This window comes from Homo sapiens, chromosome 3, assembly GCF_000001405.40.
Source record: "Homo sapiens chromosome 3, GRCh38.p14 Primary Assembly".
In the NCBI taxonomy this organism is placed as follows: domain Eukaryota; kingdom Metazoa; phylum Chordata; class Mammalia; order Primates; family Hominidae; genus Homo; species Homo sapiens.
In genome coordinates, this window is record NC_000003.12 from 167,150,752 (window position 1) to 167,166,813 (window position 16,062).

The window sequence follows — 16,062 nt, forward strand, 5'->3', positions numbered from 1 at the left end:
CGTCTGAAAAAATAATATTTCCAGAAGCAACCAAAGTGAAAGAAAAAAGCATCCTTGCCAAAGCAAAGGAAAGGGATGCCTTCTATAGGCAATATTAATTTTCTCTGTCAACAAATATGTTTGTGGTAGATGGATACAAAATACCTTGTCCCAGGATTGCATGCAGATTTTTGCTTCCTTTGCCTAAGAAGTTTGGTAAATGTGTCATATATATATATATATATATATACACACACATATATACACACACACATACACACACATATCAGCAATCTGAGCAAATAAAAAACCTTGGAGAAAGTTCTAATAAAAGGAAAGTACAAAAGACTATCTCTGCTACATGTAGGTCAGGCTTTTCCCAAGTAGAGACATAAGCAGCACCTCAAAAATAGCAATGAAAATGTTTAAACTACATAAGAGATGTTTTGGGAATATGGACTGTGAATGTCTAACAAGCCTCTAACATCCCCAGGGCAATTGCTTAAAAAAAATCAATGCTTCATTTTCTAATAAGTTAGTAACTTTTTGGAAGTCTTTTTAAGAACTGGTACAGGTCGTTTGCATAAGTAGAGGATTCTAAGCAGTACGTCTAATAGAATGAACACCAGGGTTCTATAAGGAGGTTATTCTGAAGAGTGTTTAAAGGGCATAATAGTGAAAACTGCCTATGTTAGCCTCTTGGAAGAATGAAATGGGAACCATTTTACTCAAATAATTGGTATAGATCCTGGAAACCAATTATTGAAAATACATAAACATGAAACAACAATGCTTTCTTGTAAGCAGGAAATCTTCATTAAGTCTTTTGGCATTGATTACATTCACATGATTCATTCTGAACTCTTCTTAGTAATGTGAATTTAATGCATAATTTCTGTGTAATGACTTTTTTTAATTACCACATAATCACGGGTGAAAAAAGTGTCTTCCATTTGGTCCATTTTATGAGGTTAAGTAAATAAATCTATAAAATAATTTATTCTGCTAGTTGCTTGGAAACTGTATTGTTGATATGACAACCATGGCATAATAAATCAAATCACCACTTTCTTTCATTTGCATGTAGAAGTCATATATTTTCAAAAGAAAAGAAGTTGTCTTGCTTTTCCCTATGCTACAGTGACATCTACAGAAGGGAATGAAGAAAAATTGAGAGGAAAAATCTTTCTTGCTTTCTTTTTTAAGAATACTCTAACATAAAGTGCACTAAAACTCCCGGCTTTCAGAAATAGGTTCAATGTTTCCTATATAGAATATTTTATAAATATCTTTAAAATCTCAGAAGGCCTAATTTATAGAAGTTTGTAACTTGTGCTTCCTGGAGATCTAGGTAATAACAACTTTACAGATACATTTTGTCATGATAATTCCAAAAAGAAGTAATTATTGCCTTCATGAAGTTCAGTGAATACTTGTAGTTAGAGGATCAGCACTTGCAGTTACCTATAAATATTCATTTATCTTCCTAGCTTCTTTTAAAATGCTCCATCATACATTTTGCCACCCATTACTGTATATTGCTATAGGTGTTTTAAAATTTTTCTACCAATAATACAATTTTAACAAGTGAGTCTTTGTCCTTGGAAGTGGAAGATAATATGAGTTTCACACTAAGCATGCCAATAGTTGTATCAGATCAATTATAAATGGACATTTTATTTCTAATTCACCAAATATCCATCTCTTCTCTGACAACAGATTGACTTGAAAGAAAAAAAGATCTTAATTCCCATGTTCTAGTGTCCGTAAGTTATTCCACCTGCACCTCATTAAAAAGAACAAGAATAGAAATAATCCTCCTTTTTTTGTCAGGGTCACAATCACAATGGAGACTTTTAAGAGAAAAATGTCATTTTTAGTAGAAACTATTAAAACATCTCCCTTTCCCACAGGGCTTCAACGTGTTCCACAATGACAGATCTCAACATGACTTCTAAAAGGTAGTAAAGTTATGCAAAGCAGCATGACAGAGTTTTATATGCATGGAAGGGAATTATTCAAAGACGATGCCAGGGATACTTTCTCATTGACTGTATTTCATTTAAAAACCAAATCAAGGGGCAAGGGGATGATGCCATTATCATCATCAGCATCAGCAGCAGCAGCAGCATCATGTTATATATGGCAGGGAATGTAACTGCACGTTATGGCAGTGATTATTACTCTAAAAACAGAATAGGGTAGTGAGGAGGCTGGTAACTCTGGCATAATCAATTGAGAAATAAAAAAATTAGTTCAAGAAAACAAATTAAATTAATTCAACTGACACTTACAAAACACCTGCTATGTACTGAACTCTGGGTTCACTGGCAGAGGTACAAAGGAAAAAGAAAAAGGTGACGTTAAACATTAAAAGATATAAAAATTATTCTAAGACATGGTGATATCCTAGAGGACTCAGTGCAGATTTGTCCTAAAGAGAGAGAGAAAGAACATTTTTCCTCCACAAAAAAAAGCATTTTTTTTCTGTGCTTTGCATTTTGTATTTAGCTTTGTAGAAACACATGTAATTCTTAGGAACAGGTATGCTTCATGTTGTTTTATTATTTTAAATGTATAGAATTGGTATTTCTTAGAAAGGATATTGCTTCACCAAAGCAACATCCTTGGTTTTCTGTCCCTGGCATCACACATTTTAAAAGGGCAAGATTCAATATGTCAGAGGCTCTTTCTTTTGAAGAAAATCCCTTAATTCTGCCTTCATCTAAGAGGCAATGTGCTCATTTCAGTAAACCCTTCTGGAATATTCTGAACAATATAGAAAGAAGTCCCACTTTGACATGGGCTTACCACTGCACATTTAGCATTGGTCACAGCAAACATCCCAATGTTTGAAAGACAGTACTAATGAAACTATTAAACAAAGCAAGAATGACAGAATGTGAATAAGTATTGAAGCTGAGGATAAACACATGAGGGATCCATTTAACTATAGCATACATTAGACACTTAAAATTTCTAGAGGAATGTTAACTTCACAAAAATGACTAAGATTCTGATTCTATGATAATTGATCTACTTCACTATTCACTACAAAATTTAGAACATGTTTATAATTAACTTGTACCATTTCTTTTTCTAAGATCACTAGATATTAAATGCAAACTATAATTCTATATCCAGGTCACGCCTGAAAAAAGGAGCTGGTAAATCCTGTAGAAATTAGGAATTATCTGTGTGATTGAACTTCTTTTCCAATGACTATACAACATAACATAGAAAATGGGCTCTAGCACATAGCTGGGAGCATAGGTGTGAGGAAGGTCTAGAACTAGGATAATTCAATAGATAAGACCCCACAGGAAATAAACAAAATCAAAATTTTAAACTTGAAAACTTTCCAAAACCTACCCATACCTGCCTTTTCCCTATTGGCTGTATAGAGACTCCTTATTTCCTCACTTCTGTCTCTTCTTGCCTGACCTGCCAATTTTGCACCCCAGTTGATCAAGTTTTCTGACCTTTGAACTTGCCATTTCATTTCTAGTTTATGATCTTAACCTGAATCTTTGCTTCATGTTTAGATTTGCACTTCCATATGGGGAGTCCCTGGGACCTCCTTCTCTGAACTGCCTCCTCTTTCATTTCTCTGATGTAAGACCCTGCATTCTGGACTTGCTCCAGTCCTGGCCAAGAACACAGTGGTAGGGTTCTGACAAGTGGCATTATCTTTCCTGAGCACTGCATAAGTCAGAAATGTGAACTAATACTGGAGATCTGAGTTGTCTTCCTACCTCTGTCCCTGCACCTTATTAATTTATCTGGCAAGGTCAGAAAACCTCTCTGAATATCAGACCCTCACTTGTGACCCCCAAAAATCAATTTTACTATATTTTATACATATTCTAAGCATAAGAGAAGAGCTTTGAAAAAACACAAAAGTAAATATGAGTTAGCAACAATAGACATCACGTAGAAAGCCACTGTTGAACTCCTACAGAGTTTCTATCAGGTTTGTGGAACAGTCATGGCCTTTGACCTCACTTAGTTATTCTTCAGTTAGACAATTTAAATACATAAGTACAATGTGAGGGAGTGCAGTTATAACAAAACAATAGCATATTAAGGCATTCAGATACCATAGCTTGGATTCTGAAATTCATTCATACAGTTATCCAACAAACAGTTATTCAGTGCTGATGATCTGCCAGGAACTGTGTGCTAGGCATCTGGAATAAGCAGGTGAGCCTGACAGTCAGAGGCACTGCCTTCCTGGAGCTTGCTTTCTCGCACTGAGGAGTGGAAAACTGGCTGTGATAAAATGAACATCAGATGAATAACTTAAAGATAATCACTATGAAGGAAAATTATAAGAAGCTATAAGGCTAGAATAAGTGGACCTGATTTTGTCTGAGATAACCTACAAAGGCTTTCTAAGGAAAGTGACACTTTTGCTAAGATTTGAAAGGTGAGCAAGATTTAATTAGGTAGGGAGAATAATTGTAGACAAGCGATTTTCCTGGCAGGGGATATTAGCCTGTACAAACACATTGAAGGAACAATAGGCCTTTGAGGAACTTAAAGAAGACTGCTGTGGCTCGAACACCAAAGGCAAAGAGCGTGTCTCATGGTAACTACATATTCCCAGTTGCGATGGCTACAAAAATGATTGAGTGATCAAAGAATCACTGTTTGTGTATAACTTGTGATTGTCTGTATATAGTTACTAAATGTTTTTCATATCACTCCTATTCTAAAATTTAGCTATATATAGGTCAATTTATATCACCTAAAAACTTGTCTATGAGCAAAATAATTTATTTTCTCATTATGTTATTGATTTTCAAAATCACCTTGAAGTGACTGAAGAATATTTCACCTTGTTTATCACTTTATAATAAGTTACATGTTCTCTAGTTATCAGTACTCTACACTGTCCACTTATTTCCCACAGGCTCCTTGATTTATTGAAAAGACTTACAGCATTTTAGTTAGTGAAGTAAAATTTATCTTTTTGCAGACAAGTGACTCAATTATAATAGTAATGATAGTTTATTGGTTACTTTGTGTTTAGAACAGTGATGTTATCTGAGTACCTTTTTCAACCCAAAACTATAATCCACATTTTCCAAGAGCCTATTTGGTGCTCTTTCCAGCACACCATCCTTCTCTCTCCATCATTAACCATCATTGAATATTCACTTAGTATTAGTACAGCTGGACTACCTACAAGACCTAGATGTCAGAGATGGGTCAGAGTGGTGGGAAAAGCTATAAAAATTATAGGGAAAGATGCAAATGTTATTGGAAGGCCAAAAGGTTTTGCAAAAGCTTCAAAAGAGGATTTAGCTGAAGGCAGTTAAATTATCTTAAGAGCAAGGGTTAGATAACAAGGGAATGTAAAGGAACTTATCTAGATAAATTCATTTACTCCTGTCTCCAGAAACCAATCTTTGATCATTCATGCACAATATTGCTCTCTACTCGGGGGGTCAACAATGTTTATTACCCACAAATTGTGTTTGCTGTAAGCCTTTGTCATTCAATCTGTACTAAATAAATGCAAGCATCACCAGCTTATCGGGGCTGCACTCTCTTGGCAGCTGCTAGACTCTCTTGATGGTGGTGCGGAGCCGTGTGGTCTCCTAGCCGTGCTGTCAGGCAAAATAACCTGTGTCAGCATACTTCTTTCATCTGTCACTCAGCCAGAGTCTGCAGGAGAGACTCGGCACCTAGGAATTTATTTAGCGCCTACTTGTGTGAATTTCAAGTACAAAGTAGAGGCCCACAAGTATGGGGCTTATTCATGAGGGACATTCCTTGGGGCAGGGAAGCTGGCTATTTTGTTCTGCAGTTAGCAATACCAAACAGAGATGTTCTGAGACAAATAAAATGCATCCTCTGAAAAATAAAACTGAGCTGCACTATGGCTATGAGGATCCCAGGAGCCTTTCCAAGAAATATATTCTTATTGAAAAGACAAGAAAAAAATCATTATTGAGGACTGAATATTTATGCAGTAAATCTAACATTCATGTGTATTTCAAACTAGGTTTGCCACAGGAATTTAGGAGAACATAAGTCAAGGTGGATGATTCCTCCAAACAACTCCCGTCTCTCTAAGGAAAACAGAACTCTGGTTACAACTGGTGACATTATTTTTAATTTTAGTTTTAGTTTTGGTTGACAAGTAATAATTGTATATATCTGCTATGGTTTGAATGTCCCCTCCAAAACTCATTTTGAAATTTAATTGCCATTGTATAGAGAGGTGGGAACTTTAAGAAGTGATTAAGTCATGGGGACATTGCCCTCATAAATGGATTAAGGCCATTACTGTGGGAGTAAGTTAGGTATTCCAATTGATTTAGTTATGAACAGGATAAGTTTGGCGCAAATTTTGTCTGTGTTTCACACACTCTCACCCTCTGTCACCCTTCCACATCCTGTCATGTTTTCCACCATGTTATGATGCAGGAAATAAAGGCCCTCACCAGATGTAGCCCCTAGATCTTGAACTTCCCATCCTTCAGAATCACGTGCCAAATAAAACTCTTTGCTTTATAATTTAGCCAGTCTGTTGTGTTCACTTATGACAAAAAGTAAGACAATATTTTTGGGGTATAATGTTTTGAAGTGTGTATACATTGTTGAAAGACTAAAGCTAAGCATACCATCACCTACAAAATTATCATTTTTTTTGTAATGAGATTATTTTTGCTTTATGATATAAGGCAAAGATAGGAAGACAGTCAGTGCCTCTGATCTCTGTAACAAAAGAAAACAATATCCCACTTGACCTAGAAAGGGAGGGGCATATTTATTTGGCAAAAAATACACTTTTCATCGAGTAAAAATGTATCTTATATGTATTGCACAATGGCATGTCTGAAGCGTCATTTGTGCTTTAGATGTAATCATAAAATCGGAAATACAATTTCAACAAGACAGAACACCAAACATGAAGCATTTTCTGTTTCAACTATATGACACACTCTAGAAAGAAGATGAAAATGGACTATAAAATTGTCATTACACCTACAAGAAGCACTTGAAGGGAGAGAAGGTGTTTTTTTTTCTTTCTTAAAGCAGGTGATGTGCCCTAACACTGTAGATTTAACTGACAAGTAAACAATTTACTTTCCTTTTCTGTGCTAATTAACTACACGTCAACTAAAAACTAGCTATTTATTTATTTATTTGTTTGTTTATTTATTTTGGAGATGGAGTCTCGCTCTGTAGCCCAGTCTGAAGTGCAGTGGTGTGATCTCGGCTCACTGCAACCTCCGCCTCCTGGGTCCCGGTTCAAGCAATTCTCCTGACTCAGCCTCCCAAGTAGCTGGGATTAAAGGCATGCACCACCATGCCCAGCTAATTTTTGTACTTTTAGTAGAGAAGGGATTTCACCATGTTGGCCAGGCTGGTCTTTAACTCCTGACCTTGTGATCCGCCAGCCTCAGCCTCCCAAAGTGCTGGGATTACAGGTGTGAGCCACTGCACCCAGCCAAAAACTAGTTATTTTAATGAAGTTCTTCCTAAATCTCATGCTTACTGAATCACCTATATAATGCCTATTCTATGATCCCATTTGCATTTTTTCAAACATACCATACTACACATACTTCTATTCATTCATTCATTTTTCAACCAATATATTAGAATAGCATTCAGTAGGCAGTAGAGACACAGTTCTCATAGAGCTTAGAATCTAGAGTAGAATTTCAAAGAGAATTCTATCTAGAGATATCAAATTAATTAAGTAATCATGCAAATACATGTCAAATTGCATCTATGGCAAGCATTTCTAAGCATTAAAATGAAAGATTTTGAGAAAAGAGATTGACTTTCTCAATGAGGCAAGGAGAAATCTTCAGCTTGTACAAGGGCAGAGGATGAAACATTTCTGGCAGAAGAAAACATCCAGTACAGACACCCGAAGAAGGGAAAACTAAGGGAAATTATGAAAGATGGAGAAGTCAGAAAGGTTGAAAAGAAATGAGGCAAGGTGAGTTTAGTCACAGAAGAGAATGGAGAAGATAGTAGGAGACCAAACTGTTTTGTAAGCCATGTTAACAGAATGAATTTACCCTATGAGAAGCAAGGAAATGATCAGATTTTCACTTTCAAAACTTATCTCCATATACACTATAAATTATACGTAGAACAGAATAGATGCAAGATGAACAACTGTGGCTTGGAGTAGTATGGTTCTTCCCATGATGAAAGAATGGAAACTTTAATGAAATTGTATTCTGGTGGCTTAAAAATTTCTGTATCATATTACTCTCAACTAGTAAACTGTGAACTTCTAGGAATTCTTGAAATTTTTCTCAGCCACCACCAGCTTCCCATCTCCATATCTGCATACATTGGAACTCTCAGCCCAAACAGCTGGCTGCTTTGAGCAGAAATTTTTCTCCTGCTGTTCCCCTTAGATAATCTCAGCTAAAATCATGTAATTCAAACTGGGGATTCTATGACTGCTTTTGTCCACTTTGTAATTTTGCTGTCAGATCTTTTTCATTAAGTGTCCTTAATTCTTCAAGTGAACTGAAATTAAATCATTCTTACATGAAAAGGTGTGGAAATGTGCTTGAAACAATCACCAAATCTGCTTTTACTAATTTCCAAATACTTACTGCTATACATACTAATATACATTCATTTAAAAGTTCTAACCAGTCAAAAGAAAAATGAGAAAAATAAGCATAATAGATAATGTGATAAAAGTGAAGTGATAGGCCAGGCATGGTGGCTCATGCCTATAATCCCAGCACTTTGGGAGGCCGAGGTGGGTGGATCACGAGGTCAGGAGTTTGAGACCATCCTGGCTAACATGATGAAACCCCGTCTCTAATAAAAATACAAAAATTAGCTGGGCGTGGTGGTGTGTGCCTGTAATCTCAGCTGCTTGGGAGTCTGAGGCAGGAGAACCACTTGAACCTGGGAGGCGGAGGTTGCAGTGATCTGAGATTGTGCCACTGCACTCCAGCCTGGCAACAGAGCTAGATGCTGTCTAAAAAAAAAAAAAGTAAAGTGATAAAAGTAGTGGTTGGTTTGCTGTGGGACACTTTAAAATATTCTTTTATAGCAAAATAAAACATAGTCAACTCTTTGTCAGTCCCCTATTACAGGGATTTTAATGTTTTCCTCCTAAGTTTAAATGCCTAGAAGTCACTGTTTCAGCCCAACTAGTTGTCTCATAAGGTTAGTCGGTAACTTAGGAATACACAACTTTAAAAATGTTGCTTAACCCAAATTTTGTTCTTAAACTGTTACTGGAAAATATAAAAAAGAAAGAGAGAGTTGAGTTTCATTATTTGTTAAAATTAGCAAAATTTTATTTGTAGAGCTTCTTGGCCCTGAAATAACTGCAAATTTCCAAAGTTAGTCCTCACTCTGTATCCCTATCTGGTTCTGTGGCCTTAGACAGGCAGAGATCCATGGTGTCCCCATGGGAATGCTGGCCCTTCTATATCAAAGAAGCATCATACAGAATAAAAGGTCCCTCAATGTGCCTCTCGGAAAGTCTGCATGTTGGTTGACTCTTAGGCAAAAACCATCTTGTAATGCATGTGATTTGAATTTCCAGTGTCACCAATTATTTTTCTCTAGTTCCATTTACTTGGCATTCCAATGTTTCCAGTGTAGGTATGAAAAAAATAAGAACAATTAATTTTTACTGTCCCATACTGATCGTAGACTTTTCTCCTGGGGAACTGTGTTTGTTCTTGTCATCTGTGTGATATGTAAGTGCAAAATTTTCTTAAAGTGGTACCATGGAAAATAATAGGTTACCCTTTTCTATGAGCTTTATTTGCTTATTTTCCTTGTTCAAAAATACATATTTTAATTTTAATAATTTTAATAATTTATAGCACATAATTTATTAAATATTTAAGTATCATTATGTATTTATGTATATATTTATATCTATATTAACACATGCCAAATATACCCACAAAGGCAGATTCTAGCAGTACAAAATTACCCCCACCTTCTCCCAGCAAAAAGTGAATGCTAAACAATGTTCCTGTCACTAGAGAGTCCAACAAAAAAATTTATTATATTTCTATGAGTTACAATTGTCATTAAGATCAAACCATTAGCATGTAGAATTTACAAGCTGTATATGTTTTTATGTGAGATAAACTATCTCACCAGAATATTTCAAATGCATACACTCTTGAACAATGTTTTGTAATTCATTTACTGAGGAAATCACAGCTCAGATGCAGCATCTGGTTTTCAGTGAGTTCTGGCGTTTTCCCCATTTTTCCATCTGGATTGACTGAGGTACAAGTCAATCAAGTGTGGAGCCATAGGTCTCACAGCAAGATAGAATCTGGTCCAGGAATAAAGTCCAAGAGTTCTCCTTGCAAGCACTGTAGACATAAGTCTTCTTTATATAGAAATATTATTTTATTAATTCTATTTTTAAGGCATAGATGACTGCAATCCTGCTACTGTTAAAGTTGTGCATTTGACTAAAGATTGCAGTCATAATAGCCATCATTTTAGAGCATCTGTTACACCACGCATCCAAGTTAGCAGTTTTAATATTCACCAGCATGGCTTTATTTGGTAAGCATACGTGCTGTTTGGAAGAACTTGCTATGTAATCTAACACTAAAAAAGAGTGACCAGCAAAATATATTCTTCACAAATCAAAAAGCACAGGATTTTGAGAAAGATCGCTTAAACTTAAGACCCAATTTTGCCACTACCTTGCTCTGTGACCTGAGCAGGATCTTGAACCCCTCCAGGTTTGTTCAACATTGATAAAATCGGTAAAAATAATACTCCATAAATACTGCATAAATAAAGTAGTTTTATCGGAGAATAAAATTTAGATGGTAGTGTGTTAATATGAAAATATTTTAAATATCATATGCAGATAATGACATTCATTAGACTGGATTAACTTTATGATGTTGCTGAAAATAGATTAGATAAAAAAATCATTGGCCAGTGATTGTAACAAGTTGTTACCTGGATGGTTACATGTGGGGTTAGTATTAGGCCAAGAATATATGCATTAAAAATTCAGTGTGTATGGTGCTTTTTTTATGCATCTGTGGCAGAGAAAGCATTGCACACCAGACAGTTTACAGGTTTTCCTGCATGTCCTAGTCTTCTTGCATTTAGATGGGCCTTTGAGATGAGTTCTGCAAAAAGGGCTTTCGGTAGACATAGCCTTTGACATTTCTAGATGGAAGCATTTAAGATCTGGAACTTCATGTTTCAGGAATGTTTTCCCTTTCTATACTGGTTACCTATTGTTACATTAAAAATTACCCCAAAATTTAGCAACTTAAAATAACACACATTATCTCTCAGTTTCTGTAGGTGATTAATCGCCCTGAAACTGGGTCCTCTACTTCAGAGTCTTTCAAAAGGCTGCAATAAAGGTGTCAGATGGGGCTGGCATCTCATCTAAAAGTTCAACTGGTAGTGGATTTACTTCTTGTACACTTACATTGTTGTTGGCTAGGTTCAGTTTCTTCAGGGTTATTGCACAGAGAGTCTCAGATCCTTGTTGGCCATTAGCTAGAGGCCACCCTCAGTTTCTTGTTGCATCAAACTTTCAACATAACGGCTTCCTTCATCAAAACCAATAAGGGAGGAAGTTGGCCAATAAGACTGAAGCCACAGCATTTTGCAACCCAAGAACAAACATGGCCTTCAATGTTGTAGTCTGTAGGTTAGAGGCAAGTTAATTGAGGGAAGGGAATTGCTAAGGCCATGAGTACCAGGCAATGAATTTTCTAGTGGACTACCTTAGAAGCTGCCTGCAACATCCACCAAAAAGTTTGTCTAAAAGATGAAATAATCACTGTCAGTTTGACTCCTGAATGACCATGTGGAGCAGAGCCTCCACTCACCTGTGCTGGATACATAGCACAGAGATGTTAGAGCTATGTTGTCATCATGACTAATATAACATGTATTCAATTTGAACCTTACAGCAAGGATCATTAAATTAGGCAGGAAACTATTCCAAAATACAGCTAAGAGACTAAATTCATAGAGATGAGGTAATTTATTCCAAGGTAATAAATTAAGTCATAGCAAAATGCATATTCAGGATGTGAGCTTAAAACTAGCATCATTTTCTTCTTTACTTTTCTCTAATAATGTGTTTGTTAGAATTCCTCTCTCCCCACTATACTGCCACTATGGTTATTTTAAATAGTTTTTAAAAGACATATAGCATTTTTGTTATCTTTCAGAAAATTCCTCTCTTGGCTGTGCTTGCCTAAATAATGAAATGCAAATTTACAGTACAAAGTAATTGTTTTGTAATTCTTTTTCTGATTTGCCCAAGAAAAGTTAGTTGGTGTATCCTCTCCATAGTCCGGAAGTCCATGGCCTATGGGCTTCCACCTTATATCTCTTAACCTTATATACCTCTTAACACCTAATATTACTGAGATAGATCTTTGTTTATATCTTCTTTTCATCTGGATACTAAACCCCTTGTAATCAGAGGACCTAACTCCTCTTTGTATTCCCAGAAAAAAAAACATAATTCATAAAATGCTGTTTAATCAATACAATATATGGAATACTATAACTTGGATATTTTGGAAATTACATATCAAGTTCAAACATCAGAATGCACCTTTAACTAAATTTGAAAATAACAACCTGTGTTGTTAGATCAATCCATGGGGAAAGTAAAAGCTACTTGAGAAACTAGGAAAGATCAAAATAAGTTTTGTTCACTGAAATTTCCTATTGAAGTGCCCCAGTATTTAGTGGATTTCATATAAAGTGTTCAGATTTCTTTTCCTGTCAGATGAACCCCCCAATAAAATTGTATTGCTCCTGTAGGATTTAAAAATTTTTACTTGCTGATAGTAATAATGATAATGGCACCACAACCTGACATTTATTCAGCACCTACCATGTGCTAGGCATTGTTCTAAGACTATAAAATGTGTTATTTCATTTAATCCCTACTAAATATATGAAGTAACATTGTTTACTCCCCTTTATCTCTGGCTTAGAAAAATGAAGAAAATTGCTCAAGGTCAGACTGCTGGTAAAGGCTGAGCAGCACCCTGAGCCGACGGTGTTTGACAGTAAAATCAATGTTCTTAATCCCATTCTGTATGGTCACCACTGCAACATGCAGACCCACCTCCACCCATGCATGTTCCTTCTTTCTGATCCAACCTCTGCATTGAATCAGCAATTCTACCTAACCTAAATAGATTTTTCACGCTTAAACTTAAGCTACATATTCTAAAACAATGTAGTAAAGTATATAAAATTATGATTCTCCAGAATATTCCAAGATTAAAATTTTCATCCCTGATCTTTCTCTCAAGCCACTATCCTAAGCAAGCCCATGTCTTAGTCTGTCTGTGCTACTGTAACTTCACATACCACAAACTATGTAATTTATAAAGAGCAGGAATTTATTTCTCATAGTTCTGAAGGCTAAGAAGTCCAAGATCAAGGTGCTGGCAACTGCCGAGGACTGTTCTCTGCTTCCAGGATGCTGCTTTGAAATTCTTCGTCCTCACATGGCAGAAAGTAGAATCTGCCAGAGCCTTGATCTTGGAGTTCCTGTCCTCCAGACCTGTGAGAAATAAATTTCTGTTATTTATAAGCTACCCAGTTTTTGGTATTTTGTTATAGCAGCCCAAATGGACTAAGACAGCTGTGTTAATCAATACAAACACATTTCCTTCCTAACCATATTTTTTTTTCTCAGGTATTCCTGTTGTGGCTAGGCAGAGGGCTAAATGAGTAAAACTGACCTATTGTGGCACTTGAGGGTTATTATTCACCCTCAGTGAGAAAGTAAATTTGCCTCGTAGGGCTAATCTGGTATGTTAATCTGTTTTCAAGCAGAATCAGAGCAGTAAGAATATTCAATGGCCACCAGCTGGCAGGTAAGAGTTTATCCTGCCCTTAAAACTTCCAGCTAAAGAAATCATTTGTGTCCTTCAATATCCTTTAAGGTAAAAATGCTACTTACCTAACTGGCTAAATTTTGAACCCATGACTTCCTTTTCAATGTTAAGCATTTTAGCAAAAGTGTAATTTTATGTTCACAATTCCAATGTAACATTCTTTCATAAATGATATAAAAATGTAATAATAAAAGCAACAAGCAATAATAATGGCTAATATGTAATGAGTGTTTATTGTTTGCCAGGAACCATACAAAGGACTTTACATGTATTATCTAATTTAATCTTCATAATGTATTCTTACGATAGGCAACCTTACTAGCCCAGTTTTTCAGACAGAGGAATCCAAGCTGAGGGAAGTTAGATAACTTGCCCAAAACAAAAAAATACAGCTCATGGACAAAATTACGATCCAATCACTGGCTCTCAGATTCCAGTCCCCAGTACTAAGTTGCTGTGCACTACCCCTTTTCAAATAAAATATACACTTAAATGTCATGACATTTCCAAAAATATTAGAGCCAGACTAATTTTGTGAACTCAGAGATCTCATGTTAGAAAGAGATTAGAGATCTCCTAATTGGCCTCCTGCCTTCTCTGTTGCACATCTATAGTTATTGGCAACCAGAAGCCAGAATTATGCCTTCACACATAAGCCTGATCATGTCAGTCCTTTGGTTCAAATACTCTCACTTCTTCTTCAGAGTAAAAGTCAAAGTCCTTACAATGTCATACAAAGCTTTGTGCAGGCTGCTGCCCACCTCCTACACTCTAATCTCATCTTCTACCTCCCCTCTCCTTCACTCCACAGAGAAATACTGGCCTCTTTGTTGTCCAGAGAACATTGTCCTTCCTCAGGTTGAATTTACTGTTCCCTCCTTGTGATCACCTGATTTGATATTTCAACTTTTTGAGGCTTTTGCTCAAATATGACTTTCTCAATGAGACCTTCTCTGACCCTCTGTTTAAATTATAACCCACCTATGACTTTTCTTGGCACTCACCGTACCCTTTATTGGATTTCACTTATTATCTATCTCTCTCCACAATAACTAAGATCTGTGAGAGAAAAGATTTTGTGTATTTTGTTTGCTGTTAAATCTGTAGTGCCTTGAACAGTGGCACATAGTAGGTGTTACATAAATACTTGAAGACATAGAGGAGAAAAGGTGAGCGAATGGTGCTAATAAGGCTAAAATGCACACCATAATACCACTACTGACTATATCCTATTAGCAAACTGAGAAACCGATATAAATTTGAACTGCAAATTGGAAATTTAATCTACAAATCTATGCAAAAATGAACAGAGACTAAGCTCAAAGTAATTTTAAATAAAAAGGGCAGGAAGATCTCACAAACCCACATTTTTAATTATTAACAGGACAAATTGAAAGTTTACACAAGAATAAAGATACAAGATGAGCCACACAGATACCTCAAATATGAAGTGCTGCAAAAAGAGTAACTAATAAAGTTACTAACACAAAATGTCATATTCAGAAAAATCAAGATTACAATGTCCTGGCTTCATTATTCCTGTCAACTGAGAAGTATAGGAAATGAAGTAAAATGTAACCAGTGACACCAATGAACAGAGTGACAAGAAGACAGAGGAATAATAATAGCTCCACAGTAATGACTCATGCACATTTTAATTCATCTTTGCTTTTTACCAGTTTCACATTAAAACCTGATGGAGAAAAATGAGGCAGTAAAGTGAAGCCACACAAGACCTTTAGGAGCTTTTAATATGAACATCAGAGAAATCAAGTCAGAAAGAAAAGAGTGATCCTTAAAGAATTTTGAACAGTCATTAATTCCTCACAGTGCCAGAACTGGCAAGGAAGGCAAACAAAAAAAGTGACCTGGGGTTGTGAAAAGATTTTTGAAGGAGCTTCATTTTCCCAAACACTCATAGATTTGCTTTTGAACTATCTTTCCTTGGCATCCAAACTAGCCAAACTTTGTGAACTCAGCTCTCTCACCAGATGGAGTGTTCTTAAGTTCCTCTCTAATACTATCTTCTCCAAGTGTAGTTTAAAAAGGCAAATAAATAAATAAATAAAGCAAAAGCTCAGCAGAGGGAACCATTCTTTTTATTTTGGCAGTGATACGCAGCTCCTTGGCAGGCAGCACTGTTAGTTAACATTGTTAGCACTTTGGAATTGTCTGACTTTTGTCATGTGTTTAA